This window comes from Homo sapiens, chromosome 15 (genome assembly GCF_000001405.40).
Source record: "Homo sapiens chromosome 15, GRCh38.p14 Primary Assembly".
NCBI classification, from domain to species: domain Eukaryota; kingdom Metazoa; phylum Chordata; class Mammalia; order Primates; family Hominidae; genus Homo; species Homo sapiens.
The window spans coordinates 21,532,100-21,553,181 of record NC_000015.10 but is presented as its reverse complement, the minus strand read 5'-3'; the positions used below and the strand labels follow the sequence as shown (position 1 = coordinate 21,553,181).

Genomic DNA, 21,082 nt, shown 5'->3' with positions numbered 1-21,082 from the left:
TCTGGGTGTCCTTAACTGCACCACTCACAGAGGGGGCCTGTCCCACAACCAGCCAGGTTATTTCAACCTATTCTTACCTGACAAAAAGGATCTGGGGGCCTTGGCTCCACTGTAGGTGGGTAATTTTATTCCAACTGGTTTTGGGTGCTAGTTTTCTGCCTAGTGGTCAAATTCAGAAACCCAATCAGGACCTAGGTCTCCACCTGGAGCTCTTAGGTTAGCTAATCAATGTCTTCTTGGTCCTCAAGGAAGGGTTTATTGTTTTTGTTTGCTTGTTTGATTGGTTGTTTGCCATTGCATTAAAATTCTTTCTTACCCAGCAATTGATGAGTTCAAGGCTATCCTGTCACATTTCGTGATGTGGCCTGAGCCCTCCCAGAGCGTTACTGACTGGGACCAACTACTAACTAAAGTTTAGTGAAGAGAAGACAATGAGCTTGCTGGAACGTCACAGAGGCTTGGTTGCCATGGTAGTGATTGTCAGATGAGATCACAGAGAAGGGTGTAAGAGAAAAGAAAGAAAAACATGCAGGAAAAGCTGAAGCATAATATTATACTAAAATATATATATATTATATATATATATTTTATACATATTTATACTGTCTAAACTTACAGTGGAGTAATGTGTTGAAACTTGAGGGGAAAACTACTTTTTGAGAAAGACTGACTTTCCAGCATCTTCTTAGAGAGATGTGGTTTCATGGAAGAATGGTGTCTGAGCTACATTTTGTCTTATTCTAAAAGTAAAAGGAATGGGACTGATCTGGAAGCACATAGATTCCAGATCAATACTAATACCAGACTATTGTAATGCCAATTTATAAAAGGAAGCTAGGTATCCATTAAAGTGACAGAAAACCAACAGGTATTTTTTGTAACAGATCATTGAGTTGGATGTGAAATGGTTTAAAGCTTTAACTATTCCAGGGGCTCCTGCAAAGTGTAAACTTAGTGTTTCCTTGAGTTAGCACTGAAAGGAGAGCAGGATTGAGGGACAAAAGAAGCAATCCAGTCATCTAGTAATATGACTCTGGATGATGTTTGCTCTAAATTGCTCCCAGCATCAGTATGTGGAAGGTGGACAGTGTGTGTGAACTTCAAAGCCCCCGCAGGGCTTCAGTTGGCTTGAATAAAATGTTACTGGTTATCCTGCCACCTTGTGGCTATGGGCCAACATGCCAGGGTGTGGAGGAGGAAGGGAGGAAATTAATGAATCACAGAGTTGCCTGACTGAAGAAGGAAAGCTCAGAAACACATCCTCTTCTCTCTTCCCTATAGATGTCAACTTGCCCATCACTTGATTAGCTAAAAGTGAATAGGGCTTAAAGTTCAGTCCTTGAGTGAGATTTTGCTTATATAGCCCTCCTAGGACTTTTGTCCTATCAGAGTAGCTTGTTGCACAGTGTGCTCCTTGTGATCAACAGTTAGTTAATCTTGTCTCTCCAAAATCTAAAGTTTAAATCCTTATTCATTAAATCAGACTGTTTATCAAGTATAGTGCTTTACTAACGAGATTATTTCAGAAATAAGCGAACAAAACAATAAGACGTATGCTGTTTGTTTTTTGAGACAGGGTCTTGCTCTGTTTTCCAGGCTAGAGTGCAGTGACACAATCACGGCTCACTGGAGCATTGACCTTGTGGCTCAAGCAATCCTCCTACCTCAGCTTCCCAAGTAGCTGGGACCAAAGGTGTATACCAACACGCCCAGCTAGGTGTTTTTATGTCTGTCTGTTTGTTTGTTTTATTTTGCAGAGATGGAGGTCTCCCCAGGTTGTCCAGGCTGGTCTCAAACTCCTGGGCTCAAGTGAACCTCCCGCCTTGGCTTCTCAAAGTGCTGAGATTATGGGCGTGAGCCACTACACCTGCCCAATATTGTTGATCAGAGTAAAGAAATGACATAAACACCCAGTAACAGTTAGAAGCCGTATTCAGATTAGCTATAATTTTCACTAGAACCATCCCAATCTCTTGAAAGATAAAACATCAAATTAAATGTAGCCAAATCTAATTGCTTCACCTCTGATTTTTTTTTAATCACTTGAAAAGGGTAATGGTTCCCTCACATTTTGTATATAAAATCTACTGGCTAGGGGAAGGCTCAGAAACTTGAATGTTAAATAGGATCCCAGGTGATTCTTACACACACTGAAGTATAAAGGTCACTGGACCATTCTAGTGGCCATGGGTCCCCTCTGGTTGGCCTGTAGTTGAAATCTATGGGAACAACTTTCAAACTACCACATCTGAGGAATCAGTGGAGGTTAGGAGGTTACTTTTAGAAGGTGATTGGGAATGTACTCGAATTTGAGATTTGTTAAAGTTCATTATAGTTATCACATATGAAAGAAGAAGCACACATGAGGAAAGGAGAGCTCTGGGGCTCCATGATAATTCAGCATGCCACAAGAGAACACTGAGACACAATTAAATGAAATCACAACAATGATAGATGAGCAAGATAAAAATATTGAAGTAAAGATATAGAAATTTTACAAGAAGAAACAATTAGAAATTCTGGAGCTAAGAATTCTATGACGGAAATAAAAAAATCACTAGGGGGTGTTCACAAGTAGACTTGATCAAACAGAAGAAGGAATCAGCTAATCCAGACACCAGTCATTTCAAATTACATAGACAAAGGAGCAAAAGAAAAAAGAATAAAAAAGAGCCAATGAACCTACGGACTTAAGGGACATCATAAAGTGAAATAATATACTGATCACAAAAGTTCCAGATGGAGAAGAGAAAAATAAGAAGGAAAGTACGGTGCTGGCTAAAAGCTTGCCAAATCTGTAGAAGAAAAAGGACATACAGATACACGAGGCCAAATGGAACTGAAATAAAACAAATTCAAGGGAAGTCCACACAAAGACATATTATAATTATATGTCAAAAGTCAAAAAGAGTGAATTTTGAAGAAGCAAGACAATGCTGAAAGAGAGAAATTCTCAACCAAGAATGCAATTTCTGGAAAAAAATTTAAAATGAAGAATAGATAAAGACTTTCTCAAGCAAAAGCTGAGAGAGACAACTTCATCACCACTAGATTTGTCATAAAATAAATGACAGGTGAGCTCTTTAACTCAAACAAAATAATACTAAATAGCAAAACTAAGCATAACTAAGCATATTAAAATATAAAACTTACTGGAAAAGCTAATTTTTTAAACAAATACAAAATTGTGCAACATTGTAATGGTGGTGCACCTTTTTCTAATATGAAAGTCAAAAGACAACAAAGTAGAAATTACTATAACTACAGAAGTATAATAGTAGATATACACATATAAAAGATGTAATTGTGACATCAATAACAAAGTGGGAGAAGTGCAGAATTTTTTATGTGATTAAAGATGAGTTGTTATTAGCTTAGAATAAACTTTGCCTCCATATATATGATGTTTTACATAAGCCCCAAGGTAACCAAAAAAATAAAATACTACAGAAAATATACAAAAGAAAAAGAAAAGGAAATAAATACATATCAATACAAAAATATCAATGAACACAAAAGAAAACAGCAAGAGAAAAAAGAAAGAAGAATTATAACACAGACAGAAAAAATAAAATGAAGTGCCATAGCAAGTCCTTACTTATTAATACAACTTTGTAAATACAGTTGTCCCACAGTATCCATGAAAGATGGGTTTCAAGATCGCCTGTGGATACCAAAATTTATGGATGCTAAAGTTCTTTATATTAAGTGATATAGTATTTGCATATAACCCATGCACACCATCCCCTATACTTTAAACCATCTCTAGATTACTTATCATATCTAATAGAATGTAAACAGTATATAAATACTTGTTACACCATCTAGTTTGCATTACTTTTATTATTCCATTTTTTATCATTGTTATTTTTATGGGGGTGTGTGATTTTTTTTATGCATGGTTGGTTGACTCTGTGGATGTGGAACCTACATCCAGCTGACTGTAAATGGATTAAAAATTCCCCAGTCAAAAGACAAAGAACGTCCAAATGCATTAAAAAATAAAATCAAACTATAGGCTGTCAACAAGAGACTATAGATTCAAGGATGCCCAAAGGCTGAAAGTGAAGGGAGGGAAAAAAATATTCCATGCAAATCATAACGAAAAGACAGCAGGAGTGGCTAAATTTATACCAGACCAAATAGACTTTAGGTTAAAAACTGTCACATGAAATAAAAAAGGTCATTATATAATGATAAAAAGGTCAATTATCAGGATGTTAGAACAACTATAAATGTATAGGCACCCAAGATCAGAGTACCTAACTATATATAAGGCAAACATTGACAGATTTGAAGGGAGAAATAGACAGCAATAAAATAACAATGAGACACAACATTACGCCACTTTCAATAATGGGAATGACTCTCTAGCAGAAAACCAGTAGGGAAACAGCAATCTTAAACATCCTATAAAACAAAAGGACCTCATAGACATGTACAGAACTATCCAGTGACAGCAGAATACACATTCTTCTCAAGTGACTATATAACATTTTTAAGGATAGGTCATCTGTTAGGCCACATAACAAGCACAAGTAAATTTAAGAATATAGAAATTATGTAAGTAGGAAAAGTATCTTTTCTATCTATAATGATATAAAACTAAAATCAATAACAAGCAAAACTAGAAAATTCACAAATATGTGGAAATCAATACACTCTTGAAAAACCATTATGTCAAAAAGATATCGAGGGAAATTAGAATGTATCTACATATAAAAAAAGACCAAAAACGCAAAATAACAAAACTTATGGATGCAGCTAAAGTGGTATTGAGGCAGTATAGCAATAAACATCTACTCTAAACATAAGAAAAATGTCCAAAAACAAACCCACCTTACTTTAAACTTCAAGGAAGTAAAAAGGAACAAATTAAGCCCAAATTTACCAAAGGAATTAAATAACAGAGATTAGAACAGAAATTAAATAAATCAAATACAGAATAGGAAAACAATAGAAATAATCGATGAAATGTAAAATAATGTTGGCAAATCTTAGCTAGACTAACCAAGAAAAAATAGAGAAGACTCAAATAAATAAAATCAGAAATGAAAGAAGAAACAATACAACTCATGCCATAAAAATACAAATGATCATAAGGGATTACTATAAACAATTATTTGACAATAAATTGGAAGGCCAAGAAGAAATGATAAATTTCTGGAAATGTACACCCTCCTATGACTGAATCATGAAGAAACCGAAAATTTAAACAGACCAATAATGAATAAGAAGATTGAATCAGCAATAAAAAACTGATTAAAAACCTCTCAGCAAAGAAGCTCAGGAAGAGATGGCTTTGTTAATAAATGCCACCAAACATTTTTTTAAAATACCAGTTCTTTATATACTCTTCCAAATTATTGAAGAAAAACCACATTTCCAAACTCATTAAATGAGGCTAGTATTTCTGTGATATCAAAGCCAAAGACTTTATAAGATAAGAAAATTACAGGTCAATATTCTTGATGAATAAAGATGCAAAAATTCTCAACAAACTTAAATACTCACAAACAGAATTCAACAGCACATTAAAAGTATCACACCTCATGATCAAGAGAGATTTATCCTTGAGATGCAGGGATGATTCAACATATGCAAATCAATAAATGTAGTACACCACATTAACAAAAATACTAAAAACATATAATCTCCATAGATTCAGAAAAAGCATTTGGGGCCGGGTGCAGTGGTTCACGCCTGTCATCTCAGCACTTTGGGAGGCCAAAGTGGGCAGATCACGATGTCAAGAGATCGAGACCATCCTGGCCAACATGGTGAAACGCCATGTCTAATAAAAATACAAAAATTGGCTGGGTGTGGTGGTGTGCACCTGTAACCCCAGCTACTCAGGAGGCTAAGGCAGGAGAATTGCTTGAACCTGGGAGGTGGAGGATGCAGTGAGCGGAGATTGCACCACTGCACTCCAGCCTCGTGACAGAGTGAGACTCCATCTCAAAAATAAATAGATAAGAAAAAGAAAAAGCATTTGGAAGTGGCTGGAGCAAAATGGTGGAATAGAAAGCTCCATCAATTGTCCTCCCACAGGAACACCAAATGTACCAACTGTCTACACAAACACAGCACCTTCATAAGAACCAAAAATAATATGAGCACTCACAATACCTGGTTTTATCTCCGTATCATTGAAAGAGGCACTAAAGAGAGTCAGAAAGAGAGCCGTGAATTGTTGATGCCAACTCTCCCTCATCCCCACTACAGCAGCCACATGGCACAGAGAAATGTGTGTTTGGGAGAGGGAAAGTGCAGCAATCGTGAGACTTTGCATTGAACTCAGTGCTGCCCTATCACAGTGGAAAGCAAAACTGTGCTGAACTCAGCTGACACAGACCCACAGAGGGAGCCTTTAGACAAGGTCCAGCCAGAGGGCAATTTGCCCACTCCAGCAGATGGAGCTTGAGTTCTGGCAAGCCTTGCCGCCATGAGCTGGAGTACTCTAGGGTCCTAAATAAATTTGACAGGCAGTCTAGGCCACAAGGACAGCAAGTCCTGGTGCTGAGCTGGGCTTGGAGCCAATGGACTTGGGAACACATGACTTACTGAAACAACAGCTGGGGCAGCTAAGAGAGTCCTTGCCCACACCTCCCCTAACCCCAGCAGCACAGCTCGTGGCTCCAAAAGAGATCCTTTACTTCTGCTTGAATAAAAGAAAGGGAAGAGTAAAGATGATGTTTGTCTTGCATCTTAGATCCCAGCTCATTACAGTAAGAAAGAATATTGGTCCGTCATGAGGCACCATTCCAGGCCCTAGCTCCCAGATGACATTTCTAGACACACCCTGGGCTAGAAGGGAACCTGCTGCCTTGAAGGAAAGAACCAGTCCTGGCAAGACCCATCACCTATTGACTAAAGAGCCCTTGGGCCCTGAATAATGAGAAGCAACACCCAAATAGTATGCCATATGCCTTGGGTGAGACTCGAGACATACTAGCTTCAGGTGAGACCTAGCACATTCCCAGCTGTGGTGACTACAGTGACAGACTCCTTCTGCTTGAGAGAAGCAAAGAGAAAGGTCAAGGGGACTTTGTCTTGTACCTTAAGTACCAGCACAGTCAAATGGGCATAGTGCATCAAGGGGGCTCTTGAGGTTCCCTATTCTAGCCCATGGCTCTTTTATGGCATTTCTGGAGCTTCTCTGGGCCAGAGGGGAGCCCATGTCCATGAAAGGTGATTCCCAGGCATAGCAGCATTCACCACAAGCTGACTGAAGAGCCTGTGGGCCTTAAGTACACACAGGTGGGAGTGTGGCAGTTACTCACCATAGGCCTGTGATGGTGGTGGCCACAGGGTCATTCTCCTCTGCCTGTGGAAAGAAGAGGGAAGAGTGGGAAGGGCTGTGTCTTGTGGCTTGAGGGCCAGCTCAGTTGCAGTATAATAGAACACCAGGTAGACATCTAAGGTTTTTGACTCCAGTCCCTGGGTACCAGACAACACCTCTAGACCTACCTGGGGCCTGGAGGACTCGCTGCATGGAAGGGAAGGACACAAACCTGGCCTCAGGTGATGTATCTAATGTAAACTACATAATCTATAAGAAATATGTAAATAATATTTTCCTATGATATATAACCTCAGTTCCTAACACAGATGTCCAGAGGCAAATCTTTCAAATTCACAAGCAAAAATTAGATAGAAGCAAGTTACATGTGAACAAATGGAATCAGATGCAATGAGAGAAAACAGCTAGCACATTATATACATAGCTGAAAGCTGGACAGAATAAAAACTTTAATTTTAGATTCAATGTATTTAGAAGCACAATAGAATTTAAATGGTACATTTAAACATGTGAGAGTGTTTTTCTACTCTAAAACTGGAGAGGAGAGGGGAGGAGGATTTAATGAGATAATGAACATTATGTAACTGTCACAATAAACATTTAATACATGACAGTGGTTGTTGTTATGCTTACTATCTTAGAAGTCAAATGTTCTTTAAAGAAAGTGTCCAAAAGTAGATTGATGCCATAAATGGTGCCAAGAATTAGGGCAAAGGGCAGGTCAAAGGTGAATAGGGGATATGATGTAGCAATTGTCAGCTTTGGTTAGTAACCTGGTTAATGTCCTCCTTTATTATAAATAGGGATCTAATTCAAAGGAAGGAACAGTATAATACATACACAATATACTTTTGCAACCATCTGAGCTGACAAAAAAAGCAGGGTCCCACAATAGCAGAGGCTTATGAGAAAAAGTCTGAACTGAATATATGAACACCTAAGTTTTAGGCCTCTTTCTTCTAACAGCCAACATAACTTTGGATCATTCTAACCTCTCTGGTCTCAGTTTCTGTGATACGAGGAAATTGAGCTTAATAAGACTAGAGGTCCTTTCTGACACTAACATTCTACACTGGTGTATTCCTCTCACATTTTTACAGTTAAATTTATGGTTTATTTTTTAATATAAGATAATTCATCACCAGTATAGTAACAAGATGAGAAGGCATCTGAGCTAAGGAAATAGATGTTTTTCCATCTGCCTCTTGCTGTTTTTCTATCATAGAGCAAGATCTTCCTAGTAAAGGGTTGAAGGCAACTTTTCTGTGTCAAATTAGCTGTTGCTCAGCAAATAGAAGTTAAATGCCACTATACGGAACAAACAAACACGTGCTAGCATGAAATCTGTGGCAGCATCCTCAGTACCCTACTTCAGTCAACAGAACTATCCAGGACAGATCTCCTAAAAACATAATTTATTGACAACATAATGAGGTTCTCTTTTTGTACTCACCTAATTCAATTTTAGATTATGTTTAAACTGATTTTTCTTAGAATTTTTCAAAATACAATACAAAATTTTCTAATAGGGAGAAATTATATGTATAAATATTTGAATATGTGTATTACAAAACATTACATCAAAGCAGAATTAATTTAAATGCAAATAGAGAAAGTCGTTTGGACCCTATGTTATGTGATGTCAATGAAACTTACACTCTGAAAAACAGAGATATGATATAGTGGAGGCTGTGGGATCACGTAGTAACATGTTGAGCCACATTCTCCCATAACCCTGATTTCATTGAACTAAGACAAAGATGGGAGGTGAGTTATTGAATTGAGAACTATATGGAACTTTTCACAAAAGTGCATTAAAAGATTGTCTTGGAGTCAAAAGAAATAAATATAACACTTTAAGAGAGAGAAAATGGCTATTGTAGTGGTCCCTATCGTTCATTTCCTTCATAGATTAGAAGAATGAGTGTCGTAGAAGCCAATAACATTTCTGGGCCTGTGAGTGAATTTATCCTCCTGGGCTTCCCCTGCCTGCTGCAGGGAGACCAAGATCCTCCTCTTTGTGGTCTTCTCCCTCATCTACCTTCTGACCCTCATGGGTAACACATCCATCATCTGCGCTGTGTGGTCAAGCCAGAAACTCCACACACCTATGTACATCCTCTTGGCTAATTTCTCTTTCCTGGAGATCTGCTGCATTAGTTCTGATGTCCCAAAATGTTGGCCAATCTCATCTCCCATATCAAGAGCATCTCCTATGCTGGCTGCCTGCTCCAGTTCTTCTACTTCTCCATGTGTGCTGCAGAGGGCTACTTTCTGTCTGTGATGTCCTTTGATCGGTTCCTTACCATCTGTCGACCTTTGCATTATCCCACAGTCATGACTCACCACCTGTGTGTCCGATTAGTGGCCTTCTGCAGGGCAGGTGGTTTTCTATCCATACTGATGCCTGCAGTGCTTATGTCCCGAGTGCCTTTCTGTGGCCCTAACATCACTGACCATTTTTTCTGTAACCTGGGACCATTGCTGGCACTGTCCTGTGCCCCAGTTCCCAAAACTACTCTGACTTGTGCTACAGTAAGCTCTCTCATCATCTTCATCACCTTCCTCTACATTCTTGGGTCCCATATCTTAGTTTTGCGAGCTGTTCTGTGGGTCCCAGCTGGCTCAGGCAGGAACAAAGCTTTCTCTACATGTGCTTCCCATTTCTTGGTTGTTTCTTTCTTCTATGGCTCAGTCATGGTGATGTATGTGAGTCCAGGCTCCAGGAGCCACCCTGGGACACAGAAATTTGTGACATTGTTTTACTGCACAGCAAACCCATTCTTTAATCCCCTGACCTACAGTCTCTGGAACAAAGATATGACAGATGCCCTTAAAAAAGTGCTGGGAGTGCCATCAAAAGAAATATCTTGGAACACACTGAAATGATATACATTCTTCTACAATTATTCCATAAGAAATGCAAAATTTCTCTCATTTAAAAAAAAACTATTTTCTGGTGATGTCTGAGCACTTGGCTTCTTACTCATAAAAGCGTGACTCATTACACACAAAGAGCCCTGATCCTATCTCAAAGCAAAAAGTATACAAAGTCCTAAGTTTCATCGTAGGTAAGATCTGTACAATTTTTATTCATCTATGTATCATTTTTCCATTTTGGAGATTTTTTAAGTCCTAAAACTATATGTAATTCAGTTGGTATGTACAAAGCTAAGACCCATGTTTCTAATTTGTATTTTGGCTTTATCCTAATGCAACTTTATGTATCTTAAATGTGTTTTAAATTTATCAACTGTTTTTTCCTTGCCAACTATAGGTTTTTCTATAATGAAAAACAGCATCTACTCACTGTACTCACAAAAATTAAATTGCTTTATCTATAATATCAAAGAACGAGAATCCGTCACTGAAACAAGAATGTTTTTTAATTTGTATTTTCCTTATTACTAAGTCTTGGTAAGGTGTTCATGGTGCGCAGCAAATAAAAACTAGAAATGGTATAGATTCTTAAGGGAAATTCCTGTTCCAGCTCTGAAGAGAATGCATAGAAGGGCATGCATACATTCAAATATGCCAAATAATTAAATATTTCTTACTCAAACCTGGGCTTCTATACTTTCTGAGCTTATAGTGAAGAAACATCTACCGTTACAGAAAATAAACATAGGATACCAGGGAATCAACTCTATCAACCAAAATATAAGCTACCTTAAAGCAGTCACCACCTGGATTAAGAAAATGTGGTGCATATACACCATGGAATACTATGCAGCCACAAAAAATGTTTGAGTTCATGTCCTTTGTAGGGACATGGATGAAGCTGGAAACCATCATTCTCAGCAAACTATCTCAAGGACAAAAAAACAAACACCGCATGTTCTCACTCATAGGTGGGAATTGAACAATGAGAACACTTGGACACAGGAAGGGGAACATCACACACCGGGGCCTGTTGTGGGGTGGGGAGAGGAGGGAGGGATAACTTTAGGATATATACCTAATGTAAATGACGAGTTAATGGGTGCAGCACACCAACATGGCACATGCATACATATGTAACAAACCTGCACATTGTGCACATGTGCCCTAGAACTTAAAGTATAATAAAAAGTACATATAAATAAAAAATAAATAAAAAATTAAAAAAAGTCACCACTTAACATAAACTTCTTTACTTAACCTGATCACCTGCCAACACTCTGAAATTTTCATATTTTTAACTAAGGCACAAAAATTAGGGGGATAGGAAAGAGAGGTGTTTGTGATGTTGTCTCCAATATGTTGAAGAGAAAGTTAATGATTTGACTAAAAACATCCAGTCTACATTAGACTTCATATTCAAGTTTTTTCTGTGAACATATACCTCTTTTATTATTTGTTAAATTTTATTTCTAATGAACACATGATAATTATATATTTATGGGATACAATGTGATGTTTTGATAATCATTTACATTGTGAAATGATTAAATCAAGCTAATTAATAAATTCATCATCTCCTATACTTATTTTTTGTGGTTAAAACATTTGAAATCCACGCTTTTAGTAGTTTCTAAATATGTGGTGCATTATTATTTATTATAGTCACCATTCTATGAAACAGATCACTAAATCTTATTCCTTCCATCAAACTGAATTGTTGTATCCTTTGATCAACATCTCTCCTCCCCTCAGCCGCCTCTTCCCTCCAGCCTTAGTTAACCACCATTCTACTCTCTACTTTTAAGAGTTCAACTGAATGAAGTATCACCTCATATCTGTTAGAATGGCTATCACCAAAAAGATGAAAGATAAGTATTGCTGAGGGTGCAGAGAAAAGTAAACATTTGTGCACTGTTGGTGGAAATGTAAATTAATATAACCGTGGAAAACAGTATAGAAGTTCCACAAAACACTTAAAATAGAATTACCATATGATTAAGCAATTTCCCTTCTGGGCATATATCCAAAGAAATTGAAATCAATATGTCAAAGAGATATCTGTACTTCCAAATTCATTGCAGCATTATTCACAATAACCAAGACACGGAAGCAACCTAGGTATTTGTCATCAGATGAGTAGATACACAAAATGTGATATATACACACAGTGGAATACTATTTGGCCCTTAAAAAATAGAGAAATTCTTCCATTAGTGACGATGTGGATGAACCTGTAGAACATTATGCTAAGTGAAAAAAATCCAGACACACACAGACATCTTCAAATCCTCTTCCAAGTTATTTTGACTTTTGGAATATTTTCTTCAATAAAATACGTTAAGGGATAAAGCTTCATAGACCACTGTGGAGCTAAGGGAGAATTCAGAGCAACCTGCAATGCCAAAGCGTTAGTTCTTCTTGCCCTCTGCAGATTGTAGAGACTATACCCACCTGAGATAACTCTATTAGAGTATAATTCTGCCAGTGTTCTCACTTACATCCAATAAAAGCTGACTCTAGCTGATTATGTAAATGAAAAAGGACTTATTGATGGAGTAGCAGGAATCTCACAGAACCAATGAAAGCTGAAGAGCCAGAGTTGAGGCTCAAATTCAAAGATACATATGCAAACCACCATGCAGAACTGATGATGAAAAATCATGACTGCAGTCATGGCTGTGCTATAGGCCACCAAGATGCTACATGAGCACCACTGTCATTCTGTTCTAGGAACTTGTCTTTTCTGCAATAAGTGTGCTACCTTCTTGTCTTTTTTTTTTTTTTTTAATTGAGACGGAGTCTTGCTCCGTCTCAGGCTGGAGTGCAGCGGTGCGATCTCGGCTCACTGCAAGCTCCGCCTCCCAGTTCACACCTTTCTCCTGCCTCAGCCTCCTGAGTAGCTGGGACTACGGGTGCCAGCCACCACGCCCGGCTAATTTTTTTGTATTTTTACTAGAGACGGGGTTTCGCCGTGTTAGCCAGGATGGTCTTGGTCTCTTGACTTCGTGATCCGCCCACCTTGGCCTCCCAAAGTGCTGGGATTACAGGCGCAAGCCACTGCGCCCAGCCTGTTCATTGTCATTTCTTATGCCAATATTTCAACATTGTTGCTCTTCCTACTTCTGCTTCTTGATTCAAAGCCTGGTATAGCTGTATCTGGTAAAGGCAAGAGTACATTCCTACAACTTTAAGTGCAAGGGAAGCTAGGAGAGCTAATATCTGGCAATATAAACAACAATTACATAAATAGAAGCTCCAAGCCTGATAATATTGGGATTACCTCAAACATAAAAAGGGATGGAGATACTGGACAGCAAACACACACACACACACACACACACACACACACACACACACACACAGAGAGAGAGCGAGAGAGAGAGAGAAATAACTCAAACAACCCATTCATTTTGACTATTCCATATCTCTGAGCTATGTTTCCTCTAGAGATTACACAGGGTGGAAATCAAATTATCCACCTATGCAACAGCAGTGAAAGGGGAGCAGGATGAGTAAGGGGTAAAACAGTGTCTCGGGTAGTTGAGGACTTGTCTATCTCATGATGAATGATGTTAGAAGATACTGTGCTGCTTATAAGTTACTACTGCATTATCTGGAGTTCTGAGAGAAAAAGTTAAACTAAAGGTAAATAAATTATCATCTGGAAAATCTCTGTAAGCTGCAGTGAGATTTAGTGTTGTGCACTTGCCTTTCATCCTTCTTAGAACTAGTGAAGAATGGATATAGAGGATTCTTCACTTACTCTTTCTCTTTAAGCCAAAAATTCTTAGACTTGGGGGAGGGGGCCAACGAACCATAATTAACTGAATAACTAAAATCCTCACTTGTATCTAAGCTCTCATTGTGCTTGAAAAAGATGTTCATATATAAAATTGAAATATTTTAAAGTATGTTTTTAGTCTAAATGTGTACATAAAAACATAAAAGTTTTACTAACTGGGGCTTGCTTAGCTACACTGAAATGAATTGTATTCCATTTTGTCTACTTTTTAATTATACAAATAAATCATATATTTTATAGTGAATAGTCGTTGTAAAGAAAAAACTACAAAATAGTGAAAATTTTCACATCTCCACACCTCTACACACACACATGCCTCCTCAGCAGCGTGTTTAGTTTGGTGGATGTATTTCTAAGTCCTCTTTCTGTACATATAGAAGCAAAATCTCTGGGTTTTGAGTGGGTATATAAATTGGATTATACCTAAGTATTGTTCTACAACTGATTGACCCTCCCAACCACTCTGTACTCTCACCTAAACAGCAATGTCTGAAAGGGAAATTTTAGCCAGCTCTGCAGGTACTTCTGTCAGTTTGGGACAAATCAGGACAAACAGACTGAAGATACAATTCTTCAGGAAAGACTTTCCCAGGAGATGGAGCATGGATGTGTAAGGTCACTAGTTCCAACATGTAGCACACTCAGTGGGTTCTTTCCCCTTCCAAAATCAGGATTTCAATTAGGAAAATACGTGAAATAAGAGCATGCTTGTTCTCTCCAGGCAAAGAAACTTCATTCTGAAAAATAAAGTCAATTTAATATTTGTTTAACCTCAATATTATTTGAGGTCTGTATTTAGTCCTTAGACCTCTCTTTAACCTGTACTGTCCAATACAATAGCCACGACCCACATGTGGTTACTGAGCACCTGCAAAGTGACTAGTCCTAATTAAGATGTGCTCCAAGTATAAAATCAAATACCAGTTTTGAACACTTGGTGGGATGAAAGAATGTAAACATCTCATTAATAGTGTTTATACTAATTCCATGTTGAAATACTATTTTGGGTGAGTTGGGTTAAATAAAAATATTATTAAAAATTTCACGGCTGCTCTTCAGCAAGGTGGAGTGGGCGCGCCACATGCCCTTCTTCCCCAAGCTGCCGGTGGCCGACCAGGTGGCTTCGCTCTGAACGCGGGTTAGGTGGCATTGTCCCTGCACACTGCTGCCATTTTTCAATGGTGCATCTTCAGGCACATTTTTAAACCAAACTTCTTGCCTTTCTTAATAGCCACCATTTGGATTTGGATCTCTAAGTGTACTTGTTAGAGCATTTCCACACTCATTTTGATGATTGCCTTGCTTTCTTGCTCACCGTAAACTTGAAATAGGAAGGACAGAACTCCCTCACTTCCTATAGGTCTCCTCAAAATTTAGCTTAAATGAAGCCATCCCACACTATTCTATTTAAAAGAGCATCCCCACTCTCACTAGTATCTATTCCCATCATCTGCTTTGCCCTTCTTCAAAGAATGTATCACCACAGGAAATATTGTATCCTACATATTTATTTCTCTATTTATTGATCCCTGTCTTCCCATACTGTAATATAAACTGCATGGGAATAGGTATCACTGCTATAGCTTCAGTGCTCAGATAATGCCTAATACATAATAGGAGCTCAATAAATGTTTGTCAAATAACCTTGTTAACTCAATAATTGAGCTATTACTATTGCAGAAGCCATTCAGGAGCAGTAAAAAGATCGTATTTCCTGCCCTAAAGAAACTTATATTCTAACTGGTAGGAAAGTAAAAAATAGCACAAACAATGCTGTAATAGATACCCAAAAGGCAGACCAATTTTGAGTAAATATTTGGCAAAATTCAAAAGGCAATGAACTTAGAAAATAACATTATGATATACTGTAGTGGGCAAGGAAAGTTTTGTATGAGGCATCTAAACATGGGCAAGGTATGAATAGAACAATTTTAAGCTCAGGTTGTAAAACTAAGATTATACTCTGTGAATTAGAGAGAGTGAGTCAAATGGGAGTGATGAGACACATATTAAGGTAAAAATAAAGTTTAAGAAGAAATTCAGAAGAACCTAAAAACATTTACAAGCTAAAGAATTTGGGGTTTTTTCCTGTGTTTAGGTAGAGAGAAAATAAGTGATGGAGGTTCAAGAACATAATTCTGGAATTTGACATGGGAGATAACAGAGACAGACCATTTATGAAGTGATTATGCCATCACAGATATGGAGTGCTAGGAACCTGCACAAAAAAGACGAGCATAAAGATGACAAATGATCCCAGGGAAGATGCCTAATCTGTTTAATGACAGATTAGAAGTGGGAATGAGATGGTAAGGAATTCTACTCTCAAGATTTCAAGTTCATGCTATAAATCAATAGATCCATGAGAAAATAAGGATGGCTAGAGCTAATTTAAAAGGAGATTAACAAATTTAGGATTAGACATTTGAATTTGAAATAGATCTTCATGTAAAAATATCCAGCAGAATGCTGCAAATATTTAACTACACTTTGGTAGTAAAGTCAGTGCTGGAGTTACCCCAGAATCAAGATTTAGCACAAGATTTCCTCATGGAGTGCAGTACTGCAAATTATTAATAAATTGCTACTCAAAAAAATAAATTAGAGGGTAGAAATTACCCAAGGAACACTTTTCCAGAGTTTAATGAAGAACTACACACACAAAAAAAGTGCTTAGTAGGCCTAGATTGTCAGCGATCTCACAGATTCTATGGCTCTTTGGTTTGCACTGGGCATCACCTGACCTTCTTGTGTCTACATATGCCAAAGTGTTAGCATTGGCAAAATGTGAGGTGTCAATCAAGTCAACATAATATTATTGAAGGCCCTTGTTAGCCCCAGAAGTTATACTTCAAATTATAAAGAATAAAAAAGCAGAGCTTAAAATTGTCCCTGAATTGTTGAGTTTTGGAGGTGTGTATGTGTGTGTGTGTTTTAATCTGGTAATTTGAAGGATCAGTGGAAAACTATTTTTAGTTGCAATACATTCAACCATTGCTATGCTCTCAAAAAAATGAAACAACTTGCTTCAATGAAGGCAGAATCTGAGGATGTTGAAACATACCAAACAGTATGTACTGAAAACCAAAAGAGTAAGCAGAAGCTCAGTTTTAGAGAAATAGATGAAAATATTAAGTAGAATTGCAAAAATAAAAAAATCTATTTAAGGTACAAACATATCTGGACCATAATAGTAATAACTTCCTAAGACTGAAACCATGGGTCCAATTAATTCTTTCAAATTATCTTCCCAATATATAAAAGTAGAATAAAATGGAAAAAAGCATGATCTCATTGGTCTCATGATCTTTCATCCTTCTAAACATTAATGATGAATTATATTAAATTTGCCTCTTGGATCCTTTAGAAATTTCCTACTATAACACATACATAAATTTTTTTTGCTATCCCTCCCCCCACCAACCCACAACAGGCCCCAGTGTGTGAAGTCCCCCTTCCTGTGTCCAAGTGTTCTCATTATTCAATTCCCACCTATGAGTGAGAACATGCGATGTTTGGTTTTTGTCCTTGCGATAGTTTGCTGAGAATGATGGTTTACAGCTTCATCCATGTCCCTACAAAGGATATGAACTCATCATTTTTTATGGCTGCATACTATTCCATGGTGTATATGTGCCACATTTTCTTAATCCAGTCTATCATTGTTGGACATTTGGGTTGGTTCCAGGTCTTTGCTGTTGTGAATAGTGCCTCAATAAACATGCATGTGCATATGTCTTTATAGCAACATGATTTATAATTTTTTGGTTATATACCCAGTAATGGGATGGCTGGGTCAAATGGTATTTCTAGTTCTAGATCCCTGAGGAATCGCCATACTGGTTCAATCAACAGTGTGGCGATTCCTCAGAAATTTCTTTAGTGCCTCTTTCATACCCTTGTTCCGGAAACTGTAGATCAGAGGATTAAAGAATGGAGTTGACAAAGTATAGAACAAGGTCACAAATTTCTTTATCCCATGATAGTCCCCAGAACCTGGGCTAACATACATCACCACAAGAGAACCATAGAAGAGAGACACTACAGCAAGGTGACAGCCACAAGTTGAGAAAGCCTTATGCCTTCCTAAGCCTGAAGGCACCTGTAGCACTGTGCTTAGAACACAGAAATAAGTCCCAAGGATATACAAGAAGGTAAGAAAGATGATGAGCGCTAATGATACCACAAGTCAGAGTAATTCCAGGTATTGGAGCACAAGACAGTGCCAGCAAAGGTGCCAGATCACAGAAAAAATGGTCGATAGTGTTTGGACCACAAAAGAGCACCTGAGATATTAGTGTCAAAGGGGTCAATAACCAGAGACAGCCACCCACCCAGCAGAAGATCACAAAATGAGCACAAACGTGATGGGTCATTAAGGTGGGATAGTGCAAAGGTCTACAAATGGCAAGAAACCTATCAAAAGACATCACTGACAGAAATAAGCACTCTGCAGCACACATGGAGAAGAAGTAGAATCGGAGCAGGCAGCCAGCACAGGAGATGCTCTGTGTCTGGGAGATGAGATTGGCTGCCATTATGGGCACGTCAGAACTGACACAGCAGATCTCCAGGAAGGAGAAATTGGCCAGTAGGATGTACATAGGTGTGTGGAGTTTCTGGCTTGACCACACAGCACAGATGATGGATGTGTTACCCAGGAGGGTCAGAAGGTAGATGAGAGAGAAGACCACAAAAAGGAGGATCTGGATCTCCCTGCGGCAGGGGAAGCCCAAGAGGATGAACTCATTCACAAATCCAGTGATATTAGTAGTCTCCAAGGTCCTCACTGGTTTGGCCTGTAGAGGTGACAGAGATAGTAAGAACCACAGAAATTCTGCCCTGTCTCCCTTCTATCTCTTCTGGTGAATAGATATATGTTTATTTTCTTCAATTTGGGTTTGGGATACTGCTCTCTTCCCCTTGGAAGGATGAGCTGTTCTTTCCTTTTCACCTCCGTCCTAGTTTATTCAATAAATAGTCATTTTGCAAATTATTGCTCTAGAAGATAAAGAACAATGAATAAAATAAAAAAGAGTCCCTGATCTTATAGAGCTTATGTCAAATACCTTTTGTTTAAAGCAACCTCAAGCAGTACGTTGATGGCTCCAAAAGTTCTACATAGAGCAGGCCTTGGAGCATACATGTACTGGAAGAGATCTGAGGAGATTTACCTTGGAACATCATTTGGATAGCGAAGATACTGTTTTTACTTAAATTGTATGCTTCTGATAACTTCAGGAGAAGCTGACACAAATTATGGGGTTGATGTGAGCGTCCCTCCACCTATATCAAAATGCTGCCATTGACACAGTAGCAGTAGAATGTGACAAAAACAAAACTTTCTGTGGTTGTCTGAGACACACATAATATTAATTTGGAAATAATAACAAAAGGCTTTTGAGAAGAAAATGAACGTTGACAAAATATAGAATTTTCCATAACGATGGCGGGAAAATATTATTTGCATATAATAAAAATGTAGAAAGATTTGGATACAAAAAATTATACCCAGAGAAGAGTCTAAAATAGTACAAGTGTGCTTGCAAAAAGTTGTGAGACATAAGGTATAAATATATGGTAATCACATGGCAGAGGACTTGCTGCCAGTCTAACTAGTTCAAGCTTAATTTGCTAGTCAAGGAAAAACAAGATGTATTAGTAGAAGAATGAAATAATTGAAGCTTTATGAAAACAGCATTTTTCAAGACCATTTGGTGCAGGTTAATAAAATTAGCAAAAAAATTTGGAAATTATTTCAATAGCCCAAGGAAAAAGTGTAAAAAGCTTGACCTGGGGCAATTACATACAAACAAATACCAGGGAAGGGACAGAGGTAATTAAATTCTGCCCAAGAGGCAGAGGACGAGAACAAGGAAAAAAAAAAAAAAAAAAAAAAGCAAGGTTTCACTTCCATTTGCCACAGATAGTCCTCTGCATGGGGTATCTCACAGGCGAGATCCACTTTCAGCACAGTAATTGTGCATTGAGGACCTTTCTGTACCAAAAGATTAGCCTACTGAAGGGTCATGTTGGATATCTCTTAGATTCCCCAGTCCTTTTTTCTTTTGACTCTTTTGAATCAGAATGTTAAATTTCATGAAATAAATTAGCTACCACCTACAAAGTTTTCTCTCCAAGTCACACACAATGAGTGAATATGTGCTAGGCTGTATCTGTGTGAAAGAGAACAATAAACAAGAGAGTTAGTCCAAATTATTGCCCAAACCTGCACCAAATGGTCTTGCAAAATGCTGTTTCCATAAAGCTTTGAACATTTCATTCTTCTAGTACATCTTGTTTTTCATTGACTAGCAAATTAAGCCTGAACTAGTTAGACAGGCAGCAATGACTCCCATTTTCCTGTCTTCTAAGAATATAATCCTTTTGAAGATAATCTGCAAGGACAAAATTACTATTTGACAAAAAAATTCTTAATTCTGTGTCTAATAAGCCTAATAATAAAGCTGTTTGTGAAGGAAAATAGTCATGAAAATTTATGCTCCTTTTTATACCAACATCTGAAACAAAGTGGACTTCGAGATACAGAAAAGTTACTGCTCCACCTGCCCATAATTCCGTATCCTAAATGTTGCCCAGGAGTCAAATAGCCTCTAAGTAAGGCACCTTTTGATTCTTTTCTTTACAAAGGCCCCTTTCAGGCTTTACTCAGATGTAGAACATGCCACAAATCTCCCCATTCCTCATTACTTATCCCTTCCAGAGTCTGAGGCTCTGTCTCTGGTGATCTCAATCCTGGGACCAGTGGGGGCAATTAACGTGCATTATGCAGGCTTGAGTATGTTTCATCTTCAGAGATAATCATATTGGAGACAAAAACTACATAATATGCATACACGCTCATGTGCAGTCACACACACACTTACACACACACAGATCAGGCTGTTAACATAGCAGTATTCCTTCCAGAGTTTCCTCTTCTAATCTTAATAAATTATCTTTGTGCTAACAAACTTTTTCTGCCATGAGAGGCACCATTACCTTCAAATTTTGTTAATCTCAGAAACTGAGAAGAAAAAAAAATTCTGGGTCTAAACAGTTTAATAACAAACAAAGAACGGTACCACACTTGG

The 21,082-nt window shown here is 37.9% G+C and overlaps 1 long non-coding RNA gene and 1 pseudogene across 2 annotated transcripts in view; one reads left to right on the top strand and one right to left on the bottom strand.

Annotated features, from left to right (window-relative positions):
* LINC02203 (long intergenic non-protein coding RNA 2203) overlaps positions 1–409 on the bottom strand; it is an 87,749-nt gene extending 87,340 nt beyond the window's left edge. For both annotated transcript variants that reach the window (NR_015416.2, NR_152818.1), the window contains exon 1: positions 317–409. This is a non-coding gene — a long non-coding RNA (long intergenic non-protein coding RNA 2203). The remainder of the gene's footprint in view (positions 1–316) is intronic.
* On the top strand, positions 9,225–10,184 carry OR11J1P (olfactory receptor family 11 subfamily J member 1 pseudogene; annotated as a pseudogene).